Raw genomic sequence first — 24,483 nt, forward strand, 5'->3', positions numbered from 1 at the left:
GCATGAGCAACCAGACCTGGCCAGCTGCTTCCCATCTTCTAAGGGCTCGGGTTGTGAAATGCCATCACATGGGTACAAAAGAAAGAAAACAGTCATCATTCCTCCATGACAGTGTTTGACGCTGAGGGTAATGATGAATGATGTACGTAGTGGGGACATCAAATTATGAGTGCCTGTCCACATTGGGGCCTCCTGCCCCTCGCATTTCACATCAGTCTCCCCAATGCTGCCCGCAGTCCCCTGATATGGTGGGAGACAGGAAGGGAGATGGAAGCATCCCAGAGAATCTGTAAGAAGAGAGGCTCAAACCACCTGTCCAAATGAAGAGTTGCTTTCTCCCTGGGGCAGGCTGCGTTCTCCTCCCTTCTGCTTGTCTGTTTTCAAATCAATGACTATATAAATAAATGAGTAAGAAAGAATAAATCTTTCTTAAAGAAAAAAATCCACATTTTAATGTGTAGTTAGTGCCCACTGTGGGAGATGGGGCTTAACTTCTGCCCTCCCATGCAGGTGGCTAGATTTAGTGACTGGCATCCAATGAATAGAGTCAATGAATATTCATTTCAATAAATGGAGAACGGACAGAAAAAAAAACAGCAATTTCTACAGGAGAGAAACCTGGCAAACACTACCTTAACCGAGAGATGAAAGTTAACATCACCAGCGATGGCATGTGGATATCATGTGACAAAAGGGTATCTCACCTCTGGTATATTGTTTCAAAACCTACGACCTCAGTGTAATCACAAGTCTAATCATAAGAAAAACTATGAAAGCTATACCTTCAGATTAGTAAGCACTACAGGATATTTGCCTGAACAGTACTTTTCAAGATGGATGAGATAGTGAAAAATAAAGACTGAGAAACTGTCATAGACCGGAAGTCGCTGTTGGAGATGTCATAGTCAATGCAATGTGGTACCCTGGATGGAAAAACTGGTGAAATCCAAGGAAAGTGTGGAGTTTAATTAATTAAAAAGAGAGAGAAAGACAGAAGAGCAATTATCCAGGGAGCTGGACCTATAGATGCCACAGTGTCTGGGCAGCAGCCTATGTGTACCCAGCAGCACCAGCCATCACTGGCCAGCCCCGCCTGGTGCTTTTCCTCCTACACTCCTTCCCACCTCCGGCTCTCTCATGCTCCTGAAGCTCAGCTCTGGGCAAGAAGGGTCCTCTCTCCACATTCTCTATCTGCCTCCTTTGGATCACAGGCACATGTACCCTGGACTTCAACTCACCTGCTACATTCACCTGCATGCCTTTACTTCTAAACCCTCCTTCACTCCCAGAGGATTACCAAAACAAAGTCAATGAAACGTCTTCCCAAATAGGGAAATTAGACTCAACACACAACACTCCTGAGTTTCTGTCCCCAAAAAGCAAGAATCCAATCTTTACATTGTCTATTTGCCTGTATTTTTAAAAAGGCTGTTTCCGCCTCCAACTTAGACTCTTTTGTCTAATACCTAATCTAATGTAACATTTCGGGAGCACTTTGAATTACGCAAATGTGACACTGAACAGGAGGGGATGTTAATGGCTTTACTAGAAAACAATGGAGAAACATATTAAATTTAGTACAGGAAATCCAGGGTTCAAACCCTGCCCTTGCCACACAAGTGGTTGTGTGGGCAAGTCGCAGAATCTTCTTGAACACAAGATATCAAACTGTGCAGGTTTGGAAATATAATCTATATCATACCTTCAAATTCTTGGGTGTTGACAGTCTATTTTTCAATTTATTTAAAAATAAATCTAGAATTTGACTTCTTTTGTTTATAGGAGGTAACATAAAATGTGACAGAAATTCATATCAACAGGGACCTCTTCATAAAAAGATTTAATACCAAACATTTAAATTAATAATGTTTTTAAAACCCGAACCAGAAACACAAAAATTGTTAAGTGTCTTCCCTGAGGTATTAGTTCTGATTAAATCCCCCAAAATCAAAATAACAAAAAAACTATTCATAAATTTATGCCTGGAGTTAGTTTTAAACATAAATGTTAAAAAGACATAGATATTTTGTATAAGTAAGTAAACAGTGAGTGAGACCAGAAAGTTAAAATGTATTTTTTTTGTAACAATAACTGCTGCTGCTAAGAGTAAAGTGGACTTTCTTATGTATTGCTGGTAGGAGTTTAAATTGATACCAATTTTAAGAATCAAAATTTGACCATGTCTATTAAAAATCTTTAAATGTAAAACCTATATTTTATTTATTTTTCTTCACTTATTTAATTTTATTTATTTATTTTTGAGACAGGATCTGGCTCTATCGCCCGGGCTGAAGTGCCGTGGTGTGATCATAGCTCACTGCAGCCTCAAGCTCCTGGGCTCAAGCAATCCTCCCACCTCAGCTTCCTGAGTAGCTGAGGCTATAGGCATCAGCCCCCACTCCTGTCTTAAAACAGTAATTTAAATTTTTATTTTAATTTAGCATTTTTTCTTTTGTGAATTTATTCTAATAAAGAAAATTCGATGTGTACACAAAAAATTAATGACAGGATGTTCATTAAGGCAAAATTAACTATAGTATAAAAAACTAAGGCAAATAATATTCAATGACAGGAAGTACGTTAATTAGATGAAGCTAATTCATAAAACAGAACATTTCAGAGGCATTAAAAGGGACATAAAAGAAAATTTTATGACAAAAAGGTGGTTGTTATATATTGAGCAAAGATAAAGACATGTTGCACAGTGCATACAGAATGTTTCTGATTCTGTAAAGAAAACATATAAACTTGGAAAACAAAGAAAAATCAGAAGGGTATAAACAAAAATGTTGAATGATTTGTCTCTGAACTATGCAATTATGGATAATTTTTACTATCCTTCTTTCTTTTGTTTTTCTGTGTTTTAAGAATTATCTTCAATGAACATATATATGTCCCTTGCATTTCTTCTCCAACAATTTCTATTTCTCAATGGAGGGACTTTAGAATAAGGACTTATCTGATTCCAAATGACTGGAACTAGTTGTCTACAGCTATTATTGAGTTAATATAATACCTGTCTATAGGTGTTATTGAATTTAATAGTCATTTATGTGAGTTTGCTCTAATCCCAAATCACATTCTGTTTAGTAAATAAAGTGACAGGTATAGAAGCATCTATGTAAAAGCACATGATTTAGGAGATCTATTTAGAATATCCAACCAAAGATATCAACACCTGATGTGGTCAGTAGTTTGGGAGGAACCTAAAAATGGGACGTCTCAAGTAGGATTTCAGTAAAACAAAGTTTAGAAACATCACAAGCCCTGTTATTGGATACACCGCTGCTCCTCACCCACCTCCCCAACACCAAAAGGGATTGCACAACTTTGTCACCCTGAGACTCAAATAATGAAGAGTATTTTCTTTTATAGGAAGAAGAAGGAAACAGAGAAACAGGAAGAGGAGGAGGAGGAAGGTGAGGAGAAAATCAATTAATGATAAAACATACAAGGAGCTTTGAACTCTGGAAATTATTTTTCTATAGCCTTCACATGAGGCCAACCACAGACTAAAAGCTACCGCTTAGCCTTTACAACTTTTGAAAGTTAACCCTTTGGTACATAAAATTAATTTTTACTTTGCTATACAAAATCCAGATTTATGTATGTCAAATGTGAAGAGACACTTTTGCTTTCACATTTTCTATGAAGACTCTTAAGGCTACCAGAGGCATCCACAGAGGGAAGTGAAAATCTGGTTCACATGTATTAAGTACAAGGAGACAGAGAACATTTGGCAAATTAATGAACAAATGTTAGCAGTGTTAAGTGTAGAATGAATGAATATGCGAATGGATGAAATAACATTTGCAGTCCCATATTGAATAAATTCTTATCAGGGATTGTTTACTCATACTTTATGCAAATCTTCTGAATTCAGGCTGGCTGATATTTCTAGTAATTTGGGGTCCTTTAATGAGAGGGGCAGTTTAAAACTCTGGGCCCAATTCTTCTAACTTGGGAAACTCCCTATCATTCTGGAATATGCCTCAAAATCTTTGTGATAGAAGAAGAAAATAATTAGGAAAGAAAGAGAGAGAGAAACTGAGAGAGATTGAAAGAGAAGGCTTTTTCCAATTCTTCCAGATGAAACTTTCAAGTGGGCTTCTCTTTAATTAAACCAATCTAAGGCGCCCCCCAAATCATCTTCCTTTAAAATCTTGAATTTTGACCACCCTGTCAGTTTCTGAAACTCCTTTTGATGATATAAGTATTTAAAATTTTTTGGAGACAATTTTTGGAGGTGTGGACAGCAAGTAAAAAGCAAAAAAAGAAAGAAGGTTAAGTCATTACGATTTCAAAATATATTAAAGTAGGCCAGGAATGGTGGCTCATGACTGTAATCCCACCGCTTTGGGAGGCCGAGGCAGGCAGATCACTTGAGGTCAGGAGTTCAAAACCAACCTGGCCAAATGGTGAAATCCCATCTCTACTAAAAATACAAAAATGAGCCAGATGTGCTGGTGCATGCCTGTAGTCCCAGCCACTTAAGCGGCTGAGGCACAAGAATCACTTGAACCCGGGAGGCAGAGGTTACAATGAGCCAAGATCATACCACTGCACTCCAGCCTCGGTGACAGAGGGAAAAAAAAAAAAAAAAATATATATATATATATATATGTATATATACATGTGTGTGTATATATGTATATATACATATGTGTGTATATATGTATATATACATATGTGTGTATATATGTATATATACATATATGTGTATATATGTATATATACATATATGTGTATATACATACATATACATATATATATAACTATTCTTAATGAAATAGATTGCATTTTATACCTGAATTTAGATGTTCATATTTTTAAAAATTATAATCGCAATATAAAAATATCAGTTCATTTGCTGGATTATATGAGGGTTTTTTTTAAACATAAAATAAAGGTACCAAGTATATTAAAGCAACTATTTTTAATGAAATACATTGCCTTTCACACTTGAATTCAGATGTTCATACTTTTAAAACTTATAATCACAACATAAAAGTATCTGTTCATTTGCTGAGTTACATGAGGGAGGTTTTTTGAACATAAAATAAAGGAATCATACAATCACATGGTACAATTAATATGATTAATGGAAGAAAAACAAAAATTAAACTTGGAATTGGAGATGGGAAACAGTCACCAGATATTTGACTGTGAGAGCTCCATAAATATTCCTTGGTTTTGTCTTTTTAGCACTAAACTGTGACATCTTCCATTTGAAAGAAATCAGCTTTGTTTTCAATGCTAAGACACAGTTTCCATCATTTTTTCTTCTGGCACACACTCGGCTATTTAAACTCTTCTTTTGTCTTTTTGCATTCAGTTATATTCCTGGCGCATACTGCCCTAAACAGGCCACATGCGAGCCTTGGAGGTTTATAGGTGTCTATCACGATGCATCCTCTGTAACAGTTGCTTAGCTACATCGCACATCTTTTGTTCTTTGCCCATGGATCTATCCCACCAGGCCTCCAATCGTGCGAGCTGTTCTTTTGATTGTCCCTCCATATCCTTTGCCCTTCCTGCTGCTAAAAGCAGCATGGCAGGTACTACCTCATGAACTTTCTGCATCGGTTTGATTTTTGTCTCATGCTAATGTGATACTTGTCTAATAGAACTCATGGACTTCTGGGACATAACCACTTATGCTTCTCTCTTCCATTGGAGAACTGTGTTCAGGATGAGATCTAATTCATGTATATGAATATACATTTTTCTTCTATACTAAGTGACAATTATTCTGTCTGCCTTGATGCCTTACTCTATTGCACAGGCATATTTTCATTCATAGTTTGACAGGCTTTTCAGCCCTAATAATTACTTGGAATATCTCTTTAATGCAATGCGTGTATTTTACTTATAATAGAAAAAATCTTATCCTCCTTTTAAATACAACTTTCAGTAAGGAGACCAAAATGCAAAGCACAACTCAGAAGTGTATGGCTAGGAAAGACTCTCTCAATCAGTAATGCAACTTGTGGACATAAATCTAGCCTGTGGAAAAAAATGCATTCACTTTCTCAAGTAATAGCATCAAAGATGTAATTTGATAATTGAGTGTAGTTATAATTGAGTTTTTCAAATTCTGCTTTGCTTCTGATTTGTATACACAGAATTCTGGGATGTTTGTCAGCTCCAGGGATGGTGAGCTCTGCCTGTCATTCTGGGGCAGATCGTCGCATTTTGGAAAACTGTTGTTTTGAAAGATCTTCCTTTTAAAGCACTACGGTTTGTCAACATGTGACTTCTATCATTTCCAACTAGTTGTGATATATTCATTCAACAAATATCATTCACTAGCAAGTATAGTGCCAGGTGAAATATCAGATATTGGAGATTAAGGGGTGAAAAGGCTGCGATTACTGTCCAAGGACATCTCCAGAGAGGTCCCAGCTGAGCACATATAAACAGATGACCACGCGCTATGAAAGCTGTAACATAACAGATATGTGTGCCACATGTCACTGGCACAGACAGAAGGGACAATTAATCCTCCAGAGGGAACTAGGGAATGAGGTGGGCTGTGATGCATAAGAACCTGTAGATCAGGAAAACACAAGACAGGAGTCCAGTCAGATCCAGTCTATCCCAAATCTACAGTCTCTTCACTCTGTCAGCTCAACAGATATATGCAAAAACTCCAAGATGTATTTCTTTACTTAGATTTTTTTCATCCTTTATTATAACTTCTCAGAGAGGTTTAGCTTGACTCCCCTCTACACACCCCATGCCAACTTTCACTGCTGCCCCCTGGAGAGATTGGTTAAAGCATCACATATAGTTTGCTCAAAGCACTTATCAAAACTAAAATTCATTAATAATTAGTGTAAGCTTTACTTTATAAACTCCTTATTCTGCAAGAATTTAAAGTCTAAATTATCTATGATCTAGAGTCTATATTTTAAACCTTATGAGGTCAGGGGCTCTTGCTATCTTGTTTAATGGATCCCCAGAGGAAAAGTAGATTGAGCAACACAGCAGGAACATGGTATGTATTAGCTGAATGAACACATGAATGAATCCATACACCATTTCTTTTTTTCTTTTTTCTTTCTTTCTTTTTTTCTTTTCTTTTCTTTTTTTTTTTTTTTTTTGAGAGTGTCTCACTCTGTTGCCAGGCTGGAGTTCAGTGGCACAATCTCGGCTCACTGCAATCTCCGCCTTTCGGGTTCAAGCGATTCTCCTGCCTCAGTCTCCCAAGTAGCTGGGACTACAGCCATGTGCCACCACACCCAATTAATTTTTGTGTTTTTATTAGAGACGGGGCTTCACCATGTTGGCCAGGATGGTCTTGAACTCCTGACCTTGTGATCCGCCCACCTTGGCCTCCCAAAGTGCTGGGATTACAGGCCTTAGCCACCGCGCCCAGCCAACACATTTCTTATACAACATGGTTTTGAGTTATTTTACCTACAACCAACTCCAGCTGGTTTAATGTGTAGCTTACAGAATTGAACCCACTTTTTTCAGACTTGTCTACCTTTTCTACAAGGGAGAAAGGCATTTTACAAGACACAGAAGCCCCTAAGTTTGGAATTCTCTGTCAGAAATGGTGGAGAAGAAAGACTTTTTCAAGGTCCTGAAGGGTGACTATGGTGATAGGATTCAACGCACCACATTCAACAGACATGTGGCCAAATTCTCCTCTTCTTCATTAGCCAGTATATGAAAAAAGCAGAGGACGCTCATGGAATCAGGTATACCCAAGAGTGTCCCCATCACCTTTTCTATAGATTTCAATAGGTTCAAAACACAAGTCTCTTAAAAACCACAGAGTAGCAAGTTCTAGCCAACCAAAAGCATTCACCATTTTCCCGAAATACCTTCTTTGCCTCCCTTGGGATGTGCTTCTTCCACTCCGTTTCTACCTCACTGCCCCTCGCCTCTATTTCTGCCTACTCAAATCATACTCATTGCCTCTGCCATGCCTCCCAACCCCTACAGCAGGAAATGACTTCTGTTTTCTGGCTTCACAGGGCAGTTTTCCCTTGTTTGAAGATGCTTGTCAGGGCCAGGTGTGGTGGCTCACACCTGTAATCCCAGCACTTTGGGAGCACAAGGTGGGTGGATCACTTGAGGTCAGGAGTTCGAGACCAGCCTGGCCAACATGGTGAAACCCCCATCTCTACTAAAATACAAAAATTAGCCAGGCATGGTGATGCAAGCCTGTAATCCCAGCTACTCAGGAGGCTGAGGCATGAGAATTGCTTGAACCCAGGAGGCGGAGTTTGCAGTGAGCCGGGATCGCACCACTGCACTCTAGCCTGGGTGATAGAGTGAGACTTCATCTCAAAAAATATGCTTGTCAGGATGTCTCATATTATAATATAATTATGTATCTGCCTCATGCCCTGGTGGTAGAAAGAATTCTGAGTGGCCTCCAAGATTCCCACCCCTGGTATATGCACCCTGCATAATCCCTCTCCTTGATCATGAGTGGCTCTTGTGACTATGATGGGATATTATCCCATGACTCATTTTACAGCTGCAATTAAAGTCCCTAATCAGATGACTTTGGGTTCATGAAAAGAGAGATTTTCCTGGGCAGGTCTGATATAATGAGGCAAGCACTTAACGTTGGAGAGTTGAAGGGAGAGGGATTCTCCTGCCTTAAAAAGACAAGCTGCTTGTTGTAGAGGGGACCCCCATGCCAGGGAGCAGTAGAAGACCTCCAGGGATGAAAGCAGCCCCCAGTTAATAGCCAGAAAAAAAAACCCAGAAACCTCCATCGTACCACTGCAAAAAAACAAATTCTGCCAACAAGCCTCAGCCCCAAATGACACCTCAGTTTCTGCCTTGTGAGACCCTAGGCAGAGCACCCAGCAACCTAGCCTGGACTCCTGATGCAGGTAAACTGTGAGATAATACATGTGTGTCATTTCGATTCACTAAGTTTTTGGTAATTTGATATTCTGCAATCGAAAACTAAAATACCTATCAAATAGATTGTCTCCAATTTTTTACACATCACTAAAATCAAGGCAGTTAATGACACTTCCCCCTATACTTGGCTCTAAAATATTTTGAAGATGATTCAAAGAACAAAATATGATATGTGGTCCTTGTAAACTAGGTTTCTTCTAGACTGTTTAAAATGAAAATGAGAGTATGGAAACTTTAGCAAGTTACTAATAAATAGACTCATGTGGTTTGTTTGTTTGTTTGTTTGTTTGTTTTAGACACAGTCTCACTCTGTCACCCAGGCTGGAGTGCAGTGGCTGGATCTCAGCTCACTGCAACCTCTGCCTCCTGGGTTCAAGTGATTCTCGTGCCTCAGCCTCCCGAGTAATTGGGATTACAGGCACCCGCCATCATGCCCAGCTAATTTTTGTATTTTTAGTGGAAACAGGGTTTCACCATGTTGACCAGGCTGGTCTTGAACTCCTGACCTCAAGTGATCCACTCATCTCTGCCTCCCAAAGTTCTGGGATTACAGGTGTGAGCCACTGCACCTGGCCAAGTCACGTGATTTTTTTTTGCTTGTTTTTTGTTTTGAGACGGAGTCTCACTCTGTTGCCCAGGCTGGAGTGCAGTGGCTTGATCTCAGCTGACTGCAAGCTCCGCCTCCTGGGTTCACACTATTCTCCTGCCTCAGCCTCCCAAGTAGCTGGGACTACAGGTGCCCGCCACCATGCCCAGCTAATTTTTTTTGTATTTTTAATAGAGACGGGGTTTCACCGTGTTAGCCAGGATGGTCTCGATCTCCTAACCTCGTGATCTGCCCGCCTCGGCCTCCCAAAGGGCTGGGATTACAGGCCTGAGACACCGCGCCCAGCCAAGTCACGTGTTTTATGAAGAATTAGGAAACATTAATTTGAATCCTGACTTTATTACCAGCTAGCTGGGTTGCCTTGAGCAAGTCAAAGCCAAGTCAATTTTTTGGTTTGTTAGCTGTACATATAAATACAGATTATAATAGCTATTACTTATTGAAAAACTCCTGTGTATCAGGGATTGTATGTATGTTACTCACAAATACTATAGTAACAGTGTCAGATAGACACTATTTTCATTATACAGATCAAAATGGTGAGACTCAGAGAAATTAGGTGTAACATCCGAGGTCATATGGTAACTGCAGGACAGGGTCGTGATTTGAAGCCAAGCTTGTCTGACTCACAAGCCTGGGCTATTTGCCTTTAAAGTGAGGGGTTATGTAAGGCATTCTCTAATTGGGTCATCCTGGAAATACAGACTGAGTATGTGATTTCCACAGAACAAGGCAGGCAGAAGGCCCTCCTCCTCTACACCTCAGAGGTAAGTCACATCTCAGTTCCTGTTGGTCCAAATGAATGCAGGCTGAGGCAATGGCAGAGACCCAGAGCCCAGGCGGGGAGACTGCGGGGATTTAAGAACTCGTTTACTTAGAACAGTGAAAAGGAAGTCAAGCGTGAACTTTCTGAGCTCCAAAGATATTCTCAGGGCCCATTTGCGAATAAGCATAAATCTTCAAATTTATCCAAAGTTTAGCAAATTCACAATGACAAATGTAACAGTTCCTCTAAATTGAAGTTCATCTCCTGGCAGTTTTGGAGGCTTGGAGAAAATGCCAGCAACAAGGACTTGGAAGGAAATAAATCTTTAGATTCCCTGAAAACACAGAGAGTTATTGTGGAAGACATATGGAGGACCCCATACTGCGTTAAGAAAGAAAATTTATAAATGTCAGCTTCATAGCAGCAATGTCGAAGGGATTTCAGCAATCCACACTTAACTACAATAAGAAAAACAGGCTGCAGGTACACATTTGCCACGAAGAACTAATTATGCTTAACCTGTGCTCTTTCTGGGAGGAGCAAATGAGGAGAGAAGGAGGTAAGTGTCCAGGATCCAGAGTAAGACATTAGAATTTTTTTTTAATCCAAACAGGTCACGTTTAAAGATTCTCTATTGTTGAAAAAAAAAAAAAAGTTCTGAATAGTGGGATGGTAAAGGGTACACAGTATGGGCCTATATGGCAGAAGAGTTGAATTCTGCATCTTTGAAGGCCTCGCTTTTGTCGTCTCTTCAACACTAATGATCAATCTGACACCTGCTCCCAGGTTTGTACTGATGATGGAATGACGCATGGTCACCAAGTACTACTCAGCAAATATTGACCATGGGCCTTTCTGTATCACAGAAACAGGCACAGTGACTACAAAGGTGAATGACACACAGTCCCCACCCTCAGTAAGCTTACAGATGGTCCTGATTTATGAAAGCATTTCATAAACTGTAAAGCATTATTAGAATGTTTATCATTTTAACTTATTAACTAATCCAGTAAGTCATTATTGAACATATTTGAAAAACACCAAGAACCAACTACGTGTCTGACTCCATTTTTTTGGCAAATTATAATATCACAGCAAGAAGTACTTACGTGGGACTAAAAATTCAAATCTGTATCTGTCTCTTTTTAGCCAAAGCCACGGCTAATATTGGACAGTCTTGATTTTTTTTTCTTTTCCAAAGGGAAAAAGGTAATAAATGAAACTGCAACTTTAAAAATGGGAAAATAGGTGGCTGGGTGCAGTGGATCATGCCTGTAATCCCAGCACTTTGGGAGGCCAAGGCGGCCCACTCACTGGATGTCAGGAGTTTGAGATCAGCCTGGCCAACATGGTGAAACCCCGTCTCTACTAAACATACAAAAATTAGCTGGGCATGGTGGCACGCGCCTGTAGTCCTGGCTACTCAGGAGGCTGAGGCAGGAGAATCACTTGAACCCAGGAGGCGGAGGTTGCAGTGAGTCTAGATTGTGCCACTGCATGCCAAGCTGGGCAACAGAGTGAGGCTCGGTCTCAATAAATAAATAACTAATTAAAAAAATGGGAAAATAGGAAGTGAAATGTAATCATATGCATTCCTAATTTCCGGGGAATGGGTCATCTTCTCCTCAGGGTTCTGAATGAAGATTGTGCCAATTAAAAGGTGCCCTGGTTGGCCACAAAGCCCAGAACTAGAAATAGAAGGAACACAATGGAAACACCAGCTGTCGGAAGCTGCAGCAGGACCTCAAGAATGATGCTGCAAACATCTAATGAGAAATAGAAAACTTCTTACAAGTCCCATAACTAATGTCGATGAGACAATGCTGAAGACGAGCCTGAATTTAATAAATCTTTTAATATTTCCACAGCTGGGCCTGCTTACTCGGGGCTGGTGGACCATTTTCTTAAATAAGGCATGGCGCTGGTCTGACATTAGTTTAACAAGGTAATTATCAAGTGAAAAATAGCTGCTGCACTGCTGTGAACCTGAATAATAACTCTCATAATTACTGATTTTGGGCCCATCTTTTAAAAAAATAATAGAGCTCCAAGTACTAAAGCATTTTATAAGAAATACATTCCAGTACAGTGTCTAGAAGTGTGGAGAACTATTAAGGATATAATTAGCGGTTTATTTACATAATCAGTGAAACACCGTTTATCATTTCTTTTATGGTCCTATTGAAGGAAAGCAAATAAGTATGAGAATTAAGTTATTTTATGCAGGCAAATTTGAAAAAGAGAATTATTATTAATTGTTTTAAAGCTTGAAAGTTGGACTTTCTAAATGCCTCAAGTGAACACTGAATAAGTATAGTTGAGTTTACCAGATGCTAGTACTTCTCATATATGACATGACAAACATTTCCAGAGGAAATTTTACACGGACAAATACATCTCTCAGCTAGCTAACTTTAATCTTTTTTTCAAAGCTTGAATTAATTCTGAAAACACAGACACAAATAATTATCCTTTACCTGAGAACCATCTCAGGTGGTTGATTTTTATCTGGAATATCGGAATATGAGAGTAACATGGAGACACCATGTGTGTCTATGAGGAAATACCCTCCCAAGCATTACTGACTGGGACAAGCTCATAATTAGATTTTGAAAGAACTCTTGTTTTTTCATTGTTTTCAGTGTAACAACCTCATCCTGACATAGCAAATGATGCATTTTTCAAAGTAAAAAAAGACAAACAATCAAACTGCAAATAAGATTATTCAAAGGCAGGAATAAGTCAGACATAATGTATTTTTTAAGGAAAGTTTGTAAAAATAATGTAATATTGCTTTCAATAAAATGGAGAACAAATTTTGATGTGTAAGGGAGTAATGGTGCTGTGCTTCATTAAATGGGAGGGGCTTTATCACCAGGCTCCCAGGTGACCTTATGTCCTCCTTTTTCAGATCTTCAGAATGATAATTAGTGTCATCATTGTCAAGTTCAAGTTCTCCTGACTTGTTGAAAAGCCAAAAATACATATTGTGACAGGGAAGTTCCCATCAAAGAGTAGTAAGGAGAATACCAATTGGGAAAGGACAACTTCATAAAAATAAACAAGTATGGCATAATGGTTTGTGAAGCTGATTCTTCTGGAATGAATAATAAAAGCAAAATACATGAAGGCACCCAGTTCTGTAAGCTCCTAAATTCAAATACTCCAATATGATTACCTTGATTAAACAATAAATAAAACATACCCTGATGGGTAATTTTGTCATGGAGCCTCTACATTCTTAATGAAATCCATCTGAACATTGCTTAATACAGTCGTAGAAGAGTGCTAATTTAACCTGACTTCAACAAATGCTTTATTTTACCTCATCTACATAAATAAGGTGTGTTCACAGTTCTAAAACATGACATGAATATGAAGATTAAGCTACACATTGGATTGTAGGGGAGGATACCTGGATTTGGCTCACTCCACTAAACCAAAATATCACCAGCCATTATTATCTAAAAGAAATACTGCACACATCTCAGCTGAACACTGATTTTTCCAAATGCTTTACGTTTAAAAAATAGTAATAATGTAGTGTTTGGAAATAATGTGTAAAAATAGAGTGTGAAGCATTATTAGGAACAGATTTATAAACAGAGGCAGAGGGTATCTACATGAAAAAACATGGCTAAGCTCTGCTAATAATCAAGTCTTTGAAACAAAAGCTCGCTGGATCTTTAGCTCCTCCAAAGCAAGAGATTTTGTTCATTCATCTTCTTATCCCCAGGGCACAGAAAGGTAACACATGGGAAGTCATTGAGGAAGGTTAAATAAATAAATAGGTGTTTCCACTGAAATTATACCCAGTAAGATGCATTCAATAAGATTCAAGTACCCAGTTAACCATTGCTGAGAATTACTTATTCTGTAAAATTTGATGCTATAATTGGATTTCCTAGGAAGTTTTGAGACTATGTGGTGAAATACTCTAGCAATCTCATGGTCCAAAGCACCAAAGACAAAAAATCAGTCTTAGCATTGTAGGTTGGGTAGGCATAATTTTAGTTTGAAGTTTAAAATATGAGTCTCGGCGGGGTGTGGTGGCTCATACTTTGGGAGGCCGAGGTGGGTGGACCACAAGGTCAGGAGTTCGAGACCAGTCTCGCCAATGTGGTGAAACCTCGTCTCTACTAAAAATACAAAAATTAGCCGGGTGTGGTTGTGAGCGCCTATAGTCCCAGCTACTCGGGAGGCTGAGGCAGGAGAATTGCTTGAACCTGGGAGGTGGAGGTTGCAGTGGAGCCGAGATCACACCACTGCATTCCAGCCTGAGCGACAGAGCAAGACTCCATCTCAAAAAAAAAAAAAATAAAAAAATAAAAAAAAATATATATATATATATATGAGTCTCAAGTCCTTGTTCTTTTGTGGACAAATTTCTAGATTGCTCTATAATACAAAACAGGCTGCAGTCACTTGAGATTGTGATGGTGGAAACTTATTAAAATATGGGAAAAACTGTAGGTTTAATAATGTGCCTGTGGGCTAGATATTCAGACATCATGGGTCACATTTGTGCTATTTACCAGCATTGCATCAACTGTTCAAGTTACAAATATCTATTGAAAGCTTTGTATTTGAAGGACATTGTGGTAGAGCGTTTTCTCTCATGAGTTTAAGAACTAAGGCTTTTAGAAGGTTAGAAAGAAGTCTTTCCCAGGCTCAATCTTTTTCCATTAAGAGCAGACTTCATCAACACCCGCTTCTCCATGCCTCGTTGTACTTTTTATATTTTTTAATTCTATTTTTGTCATAAAAATTCTATGTATTTAAGATATACAATATGTTTTGATATACATATACTTGGTGAAATTATTACCACAATTAAGCAAACTAATATAGCCATATCCTTCTACAATTTTTCATTGTTGTGAGAGCACCTGAAATCATCTCTTAGAAAATTCCTGGTATATAATACAGTATTATTGACTATAGTCATTATGCTGTACATTAGGTCTCTAGTGCACCACAGAACTTTGCTTGCACTACTCTTACAGGGTGGATGCTATTGCATTAGAGTTCATCGTGTATGGGTCTGTCTCCCTTGTTATACTGCAAGTTCCCTTGGGCAAGCCATATATATCACACTCCTATGCATGTGCTCAACACCTGCCCAGATGCCTGGCACAGTCAACGGTAGAAGGCCTGCAATGCAGACTTTGGACTTAAATTCAGGCAGACTTTGACCTGCATCCTCACTCCCAACCTCTGCTGGGGCATTTCTTTCTTTAACTGGGGCTCATGAGTACAGTGTCTGGAAATAAACAGAAGCAAGACTTATGAATAAGAAGTCCAGGTAGATCTCTTAGTCTTTTTTGTATCATGGGTCATGCTCACACCACATTGTAGCTGCTCTGGAATTGTCAAGATTTCACATTTGAACATGAACTGGGGTCCTTGAAGTAGGGATGCCATATTTAACAAAGAAAACACAGGATGCTCAGTTAAACTTGAGTTTCAGATAAATATCAAATAATGTTGTAGTAGAAGTATGATGTCTCAAGTATTGCATTTGTATACTTACATTTTATCTGGCAACCCTAACTTCAAAAAGATAATAAGTTGGAGGTAAGAAGAGTCAGATAATGTGTTTCTCAATAATTTTTTATTGTGTAGAACAGTTCTCTTCTCCAGTCCCCAAACAATAAATTCTGGCAGCAACACCTGTCATTGTGACAATGAAAAGATTTGACACACTTTGTTTTACCCACTATGGGGTAGTGTTGTTTCAGTTTGGAAACCATAGGCAATATACTCCCTAAAACCGAAAGTCAGGAAATGCACGTGCCAGGACTCCATAGATAACATAGTCACACAGAGTCAGGCAAAGAGCACATAATGTCCATTTTCTGGTTAGTACCTCATTCAGACCTCCAGAACAAGCTCGTGAGGGCAGTCATAGATATGACTTGCATTTAAGCCTGTACGTTTGACAATTGTAACCCCCTAAGAGAAGAGCTAACAACCACCTCAGATTTCATAACAGCTTGACTTATAACATATTAGGGGATAATAAAAACATACCATATCTGAAACGTTAATTATAAATATGATAATAATTATACCTTCAACTTGTACCGCACTTTAAATTCATTCAAAGCACTTTTCTGTCCATTATCTCATGCGATCATTAGTGTGGTATTTACCAGACATTAGAGAATGGAATGTCTGTTCAAGCCACTGTTATGGCCAATTTGCAACTTCTGATACTATCAATTTGAAACCACAAATGGGAAGAGATGGGTCTCCTTTTTCTCTTTCAGAAATCTGTCAGTTCATCTATCAATTGCGGGCTTTCTCTCAAGTATTTTTATGACTAGTCCTAGATTTTCCATTAATGTCACAAGAATATTCTCTTTCTGAGCAACTTAGGCAATTATGCTAATTTAAGGTAAGAGTTTTAAATAAAATCAAATCAAAAGTAAATTTAAAAATTTGTGATGAACTGTCTTTCTCCCAAGAACTGTCTGGCCTAGGAAGGCAATGTCTGACAAACAGCAAGAGTTCAGTGAGTTCTGAAAGAATGAATCCATGAATGAGTGCAGGAACAAATCAACTTCGAATGACAATCTGCTCTACTTCTAACTGAATTTGCTACAAATCTCACCAGCCTAATGAAGACTGCTACTGAAATGGACACTCATTAATCACAATATCAGTTCCCACTGCACTCCAGTTTGGATGACAGAGTGAGACCTCATCTTTAAAATAAAAATAAAATAAAATCACAACATCGGGTGCTAGAGCCATCTGGAAACCATTTAATGGAACCCCATGCGAATAAATGCATGGTCCAGGGTCATCTGAGACAACGACATTTATGTTTTTAAGCAACCAAGATGCCACAGTCAGAGGCAAGAATCCATTCCCATAATTAAACATGAAGGACTACTCTGAGGAAGTGTATTCTTTTCTTGAAAATAAATTTTTGAATGCAATCAAAATCAATTTCCTTTCCTCTGGTCCTCAGTGAACAAGATACAGAGCCCACTCTTTACATATAAGTTGCCCAAATAAATTACCAGCACTTGATAAATGTTTAGTAGTTCCTTGCTCTCTGAGCAAAATGGGGGATGAAAATCTCACCCTCTGTTGGACAGATGTGGTAATTGTAATTGTTTGGAACTTGTTTGTTTAACTCACCATTTTCCATTAATATTCATTTTTTCCCCAATTGGTCTTAAATTCTTGGTTCCTGTATAGAAAGAAGACAAGTCTGTTTTGGCTCTGCCCAAAACCAGAGTTCTTCCCACTATGTGCCAAATAAATAATGGGAACTCCATGGTAATTTGAAGTGGCTGTTGTCTCATAGGTTTAACTCACTCACTTATTCTGTCATTCGTCCATTCATTAATTCATGCAGTAAATATTTATTTACTCTGTGCTTTTCAAGAGTGGCACTAAGCTAAAGTTACAGGTGCATCTCATTTAACCCTAAAATGTTGGCATTATTGTTACCCAGATGTTACAGATGAAGAAACTGGGGTTAAGGTAGTTTAAGCAACATGTCTAATGTCATCTCACATGCCTAACATCTGGCAGTTATGGAGGAGCAAAGACTCAAAATGAATCTGCGTGGATCCAAAATCCGTGAATGTTATCTCTGTCTCAATGGATGGAAAAAAAAAAAAAGAAGGAGGAATGTTTAGGGAAGCAAAATTACTTTATGGAAGACCAAGTCTGCAGGGCCAGCTGGCCATGCCTTCTGAGAAGGCTCAAGAGCTTTAAGCAGTGGCCAGAGGAACCTGTGCCTTTCTAGGTTTCAGGTGGACACCACAAAGGCATTATTCCTAGAAAAAACACACACGGGTCTTAAATTCTTGCACTTGAAATCCCATTCCCCATGTGCTGCAGAGCACATTCTTTGCATGTAACTTTTTAAAGTGGCCACATTCCTGCCATAGTAGTTATTAAGTGTGGTGTCAAAATGCCTTATGCATATTACCAAGGAGTGATTTTCCCAGAAACATGTTTTAAATCATGTATATAGCAAGCACAGTACAAATATAGCTGGGTGAGTTCGAACCAATAAAAAGCAGTAGAGAAACAGAAACCGGAGATAGTGAACCTACTTGGGCCCCTTGCAGAATTTCTCTACCTTAGGGGAACATGTCCAAATACACAACACATAAAAACACATATTACAAGACAAAATTGAAGAACTTAGTCAATACTGCAAAGCTATTGGAGCTTTCAGGAAAAATAAAGGAGGTAAGGAACGACAATGTAAAAGAGAAACAGCAAGTGTAGAAATGGCTCCACAGAGGTGTGGATTTGTGGTTCTTCAGACTATCTAATGAGCCTTGGTGACTGAGGAAAAGAAAAGCACAGAGAGTGATGACATTTCTTAAAACAACTTTTCTCTTTTTGGAGAGCGAAATGTCCCTCCAGCAGCCATGGAATAGCTTTTGGCTAGTGTGGCCATGAATGTGTGTGGTCTCTCTGGAAATCCTCGTTCCAGACAGGGTACTAAGGTCAAGATGAAATAACAAATGTGTGATAGAGAATTACTGGGACCCCTAGCCCCAAACCACAAATAGTAGTTAAAGGTTAATGAAAATTTTATCTGCATTGTCCTAGATCTCAGTCTAGAGAAAACAATGTGCTTATTGGAATCCAATCTAATAAGAACGCCCATCAATGTGTTATGGAGCATTTTCAAAGGGATGAAAGCGCTGCCAAAAACTTTACATGCACCATCCCATCAAACCCTTACGTTTCAAGTAAGGCCACTTAGAAAAGAATTAGGTTTTTCTCTAAGAAACAGGCCAACAGAAAGTGCTCTGAAACAAGGTAGCGTTTTAGTAGTTACACTATTTCCCCACTAACCTGCAAAGCCATGCCCACTTACACATAGTTTAACCAAGTGTTCTGGAGTCTTCTGCCCCACACATTCTTAATCACTGTTCCCCTCTCTACTCCCTTCTCCTGCTCACCACTTACTAGAAGCGAGAGTGGGTTTCTGCACTTGAATGTTGGGAGCAGAGCCTAATCTCCTCAGTCCTGCATTTCAGCAGGAACTGCCCATTAAAAAGGTCATATGGACTCCCACCTGGCCAGGGAGCCTCGGCATCAGGCTGTCCACATTGTTCACTTGATAAGTCCTGCCCAGTGGGAAGCCTTTTCAATGCATAGAAGCTATGGTGAGGCCAAGGCCATGCATATCAATGATAATAAGTATTGATCATTCTATGCTTCAAATGGTCCTCAGCTCTTTGATTATAACATCTCATTTAATTTTCACAAGCCAGTGATGGCAGTATTTTTTTTTTTTTTTTTATTGAGACAGAGTCTCGCTCTGTCACCCAGGCTGGAGTGCAGTGGCATGATCTTGGTTCACTGCAACCTCCATCCGCCTCCTGGGTTCAAGTAATTCTCCTATCTCAGCCTCCCAAGTGGCTGGGACTACAGACGCATGCCACCACGCCCAGCCAATTTTTGTATTTTTAATAGAGACAGGGTTTCACCATATTGGTCAGGCTGGTCTTGGACTCCTGACCTCAGGTGATTCACCTGCCTTGGCCTCCTAAAGTGCTGGGATTACAGGCGTTAGCCACAGCACCCAGCCCAGTGATGGTAGTATTATACTCACTTGCACATAAGAAAATGAAGTCTCTGTTTATCAAGCAAAGCATGGATTAAAGCCCAAGAATGTTTGCATTGAACCCCTGTTCCCTTTCTCCTGCACCATCCAGCCTCTCAGCCCTGCATTGCCTGCTGAGATGGGCCTCAGGAGATCCTTCTCCACGTATCTCTCCTAGGAAGGAAGTATTTTCCGAATGAGATGTGAACCACGTATTTCCTAAGAATGTGGCCATTGTGGACCTGGACCTGGACACAGGCTAGGTCAGCTGAGAAGCATGTTACTCAAATGGTGGTTGTGACTGTCATAAGGCAGAAGAATAGTGTGGGGAACGGTTCTGCTACATTCCTAAAAGGAGCAAAGGGAAATTAATATTGTGCTTGAAACTAATAGCAAGTGATCAGCCTAACCCAAGACAGAGAAGGAAATAGCAACACTTTATGCTGGACTTAGAACTGCAGAGCAGGTGCACAGAGGGCTTTGAGGAACCTGATCCCTGGCTTTCTTTGTCTTCTGTTTCAGATAAAGGACAGTAATTATTTGGGACCCTTATTTCTGTTACCAGAAATGTGTGTGTTGATAAAAGCATTTATTTTCCTTTAGCTATGGCATGATGTAGGAATAGGGTGTGTGTGTGTGTGTGTGTGTGTGTGTGTGTGTGTGTGTGTGTGTGTGTGTATGTGAGAGAGAGAGAGACAGACAGACAGAGAGAGAGAGAGAGCAAGCTGGCTTTGGAATCAGCAAACCTGAGGCTCAGCCTCACCTGTGGGGCACCCACCTAACCTCTCTGGACCAAGTTTCCATTTTTAGAAAGGACCGTTTTTAGCCCTAATGTTCTTTATTCTACTGACCTGCTGCCAGGGAATTGTCTACCTCTGATACTCTTCTTTCCTAGAGTCCACCTTACCCAAAGGATAGAACTTCCTCCATGGAACTGCCCACTTCTCCAGCTGCCAGAGTAGTACCTTCCTGGTGTTGTCCAGGGCGGGGGCAGGCAAGTGGCCTTAGGGATGCACAGGCCAATTTCTCACATAGTCTAATAACCTGGCCCATCCTGAAGCTCTCCCCACCAATTACCACCTGTTCCCTAAGAAAACATCAGTAGCTTCCACCTGCCCAATCATATCTCACCTGGGCGGACACACCCCCATCAGGGGAGTGAAGGGCTTAAGAGATGGAGCACGTGGAGGAAGAGGGTCAATACTGAGGAGCTTTCTGCTTTCTGAATGAAAGGAACAATATATCACCCAGAACATCATCATCTCTTCAATTATTATACTGCCGGGACTTTTGTTCCTATTAAAATCTATCAGAACAGCCAGATGTGGTGGCTCATGCCTGTAATCCCAGCACTTTGGGAGGCCGAGGCTGGGCTGGTGGATCACTTCGGGCCAGGAGTTAGAGACCAGCCTGGCCAACATGGTGAAACCTTGTCTCTACTAAAAATGCAAAAATTAGCTGGGAGTGGTGGCGGACACCTGCAATCCCTGCTACTCGGTAGGGAGGCTAAGTCAGGAGGATCACTTGAACCCAGAAGTGGAGGTTGCAGTGAGCTGAGATCACACCACTGCACCCCAGCCTGGGTGACAGAGTGAGACTCTGTCTCAAAAAAAGAAAAAAAGATCAGATCGTAACCCAGAGTTTGTTTGAGTACGCCAGTGGACCACTGTGAGTTAATTTCTTCCTGTTCAAAAAAATCCAAAGATCTCAGTAAAGGATAGCTTTGCCAACATTTTACTTGATTATATAAACTTTTCTACAAATGTCTATGCATTTGTGTCCTCATTTATTCCTTCATTCAACAAATATTTATTGAGCTACCTATTATGTATGAGTTCCTGTATTAATCTGAGAACTCAGCAATTAACAAAACAGAGCCCTCATCCACATGGAAATAACATTCTAATAAGGAATGACATACAATAAATAAATAAGCAGACGCCTATTACAGGATTTATGGCAACTTAGAGATAAAGTATTATAGACCCAAAAGGACCCCCCTAGACACCAGCGATGGGGAGGAAGAATGAAAAGTTTTTTCTAGTAAAGGCTAAAAAAAAAACCCTCAGCTAAAATATCTCTTATTATTTCATATGTGTGTGATTGGGGATTTTTTTTTTTTAACAAATACTAATGCAACAGCCAAATCTTATTTTCCTCATCAGAAAAACAAAGCTTTCAGCTTCCCTGGAAGCATGAAGGAAGAGCTGCAGCTTCTAGCCCCAGGACAGCCAGGAGTCTGCCCAGCCTGGCACAGCATGCCTGGACCTCGAACGGGTTAAGGTACCAGCGCCTGAGCTCAGAGCGCTGCATAAACAGTGCACGTCAGGCGTTCTAAGCAAGCTTCATCTTCCTTGTCTCTCAGTCTTGGGCTGTCAATCAGCTGTCACCAGCCCACACATCAGCAGCGTGTGCACATCACCGGGCTGTCAGCAAGGCAGCTGATGAGACTCGGCTCAAGACCGTCAATCATCTTTGTTTCTCTTCTCCACTCGGGAAATATTTTGGCTCGGAGAAACAAAGAGGCCTGGGCAACAATGGCTGGTAGTCAGGCATTTACTCCTGTTCATGGAGATAAGATCTTAAACAGGCGATGATCGTGATTCACTCCCAAATGATGCTGGGGTGGGATGGACAGAGGGAAGAGCCAGAATCTGTTGTATTAGGACATATTTTAATACTGTAATTCTAGTTCCCTGAGCAGTCCCTGATGGATTCCCGAACCAACAAAGCACAAGAACATAAAACAATGATAACTTGAAGTTATCTGAGCTTATGCCTCAGAAAAAAATAAGGTGGCTCAGGATGGATGACTGCTTGGTTAGAAATTAAACGCCATTGATCAGGCAGCTTTTTGAGGAGGGAGTAATTGTCGGACTGCTGAGTTCATTTATCTCCCAGGGACTTCTGAAACACCTCTTTAGGGCATGAGGCTGCTTGGGGGCACCCACACACCGGAGAGCAAGTTAACTCAGCAGGACCCCTGTGAAGTAGGCTTATCAGTGTTTACACTAGGAGTCACTTTGTTGAATATAAAGGTGCTCTAAACAGCCCATTTTCTGATATACTACCTGCCCCTCCTCTCGCCCAAAATATTGATTAGAAATGTCCCACGTCCTTAAAAGTCCGTGAGACACAAACATGAGAGATGCGCCTGGCAACCAGTTTCAGTTGGGCAGCAAGTCCACTCCGGGCTGCTCCTCCCGTGTTTAACACTATTGCAGAATCACCATGTGCATATATTAGCATAATTAATCAGTTAATTATGCAATTGATTCTACTAGTATAGTTGCTAATAGTATGCAAATAGCACCAAGTTGCCTAAAGCCTCCCCCAATTTTTTGTTTAATTGTTGTTCTCTAGTGGCTTTGAAATAGATTAGCAACAATCAGAGCTTTCAATCATACATATCAAGAACCCTATTACCTATAAATTTTTCAAATGTTCTGGATTGACTCATTCATACCATGACTGGTTCATCATTCCATGGCTGGTTCCCTCATCATTTCAGTGTTTGTGACAGTGGGGATGTTTTTCCTCTGATGGATTCTTTCCTAGGTGCAACACTGATTTCTGAAAACACATCTCTCTCTGATCTAACTGGACATTAATTGCTTTTGTGCTGATGCATCTATGCCTCCTGGTCTGATAGCACAACTAGCAAATCTGATCTCTGACAAGTTGGCTGAACCTAATCAGGACAGATCAGCTGTTACCCAAGGTGCCACACGCTGTAATTTGAGGATCTTTACAGAGTTATCACTCGCCTGAAAGACAAGGAACTATAATTCTGTCAACACTAATCCCAAACTGTATGTTCAAAGCAACTGTGGCCTCCCCACACCCCAAAAAAAGATAGCACTTGTCAAATAAATACCTGAGATAATTGATAAGAGGGGATTAGAAGGATGTGGCTGATACAGTGACAGTAGGAATTATTATTTTTAAGAACCTCCAGAAGCAGAACATTGGATGTCAAGTGTGAACCGTCAAGGATAAAAGAGGGTGGCAGAAAGAGATGCATGGAAATTGTCCATCATTCCGCTCCCACTCATCACTGGGTGACTTGGTTCATATTTGCCTCACTCTCTAAACAGGCAAATACCCAAACATTCTAAGCCTCGAAGGAAACCTGTCAGAGCCAACTAGGGCTGCCACCCAGTGACAATGACTCGATGAGAAGCAAGAACATTCTCAGGAGTGGAGGTATTATTGTCAGGCTGTCAGCTCTGTGCTATTCTCTGAAGACCCCTGCGGTTTTCTTACAGGCACAAAACGAGGTAATATTAGAAAAATAAACTTCTTTCTTACTGTATCGCTTTGGTCCATCTTCCAAACAAAATGAAAGGGTTAATGTGGCGTCATCTTCAAAAAATTCAGTGGCAAAGGCGTCCCACCAGAGGTTGTCACTATCCTGCAAAGAGACAGATCATTTATTTAACAAGGGAAAGTGGGAAATATCTCAAAGAGGAAGAGAAAAGGGAAGAGAAAGAAAAACTCAGCTGCTCCTTGCTCATTACTTCGCGTATGTGTGTAGGTGTTCTAGGAAAGGGTAGGTGGGCGGTCACTCTTCAAATTAATTGCCTCAAATAGGAACCAAATTCCAATTCAATAAGTGAGCTC

At 40.0% G+C, this 24,483-nt stretch overlaps 1 protein-coding gene across 23 annotated transcripts in view, besides 1 other annotated feature; it reads right to left on the minus strand.

Moving 5' to 3' along the window:
- The window catches only part of LDB2 (LIM domain binding 2), a 397,105-nt gene that overhangs the window by 233,446 nt on the left and 139,176 nt on the right, over positions 1–24,483 (minus strand). For 21 of the 23 annotated variants that reach the window (XM_017008813.3, XM_017008821.3, XM_005248197.5 and 18 more), the window contains one exon: positions 24,172–24,274. In XM_017008813.3, the coding sequence (XP_016864302.1) occupies positions 24,172–24,274 (103 nt within the window). Of the gene's footprint in view, positions 1–15,863; positions 15,942–17,420; positions 17,473–24,171; positions 24,275–24,483 lie in introns of those variants that run through there. The other 2 variants (NR_130734.2, XM_047416390.1) reach the window with 2 other exon arrangements.
- Positions 22,160–22,454: a silencer, noted in NCBI's record as "tiled region #15531; HepG2 Repressive non-DNase unmatched - State 21:Repr, and K562 Repressive non-DNase unmatched - State 24:Quies". NCBI's record gives its function as "represses a minimal TATA promoter and a strong SV40 promoter by Sharpr-MPRA in HepG2 and K562 cells {active_cell/tissue: HepG2 | K562}" and the evidence as "EXISTENCE:reporter gene assay evidence [ECO:0000049][PMID:27701403]".

Source organism: Homo sapiens, chromosome 4, assembly GCF_000001405.40.
Source record: "Homo sapiens chromosome 4, GRCh38.p14 Primary Assembly".
In the NCBI taxonomy this organism is placed as follows: domain Eukaryota; kingdom Metazoa; phylum Chordata; class Mammalia; order Primates; family Hominidae; genus Homo; species Homo sapiens.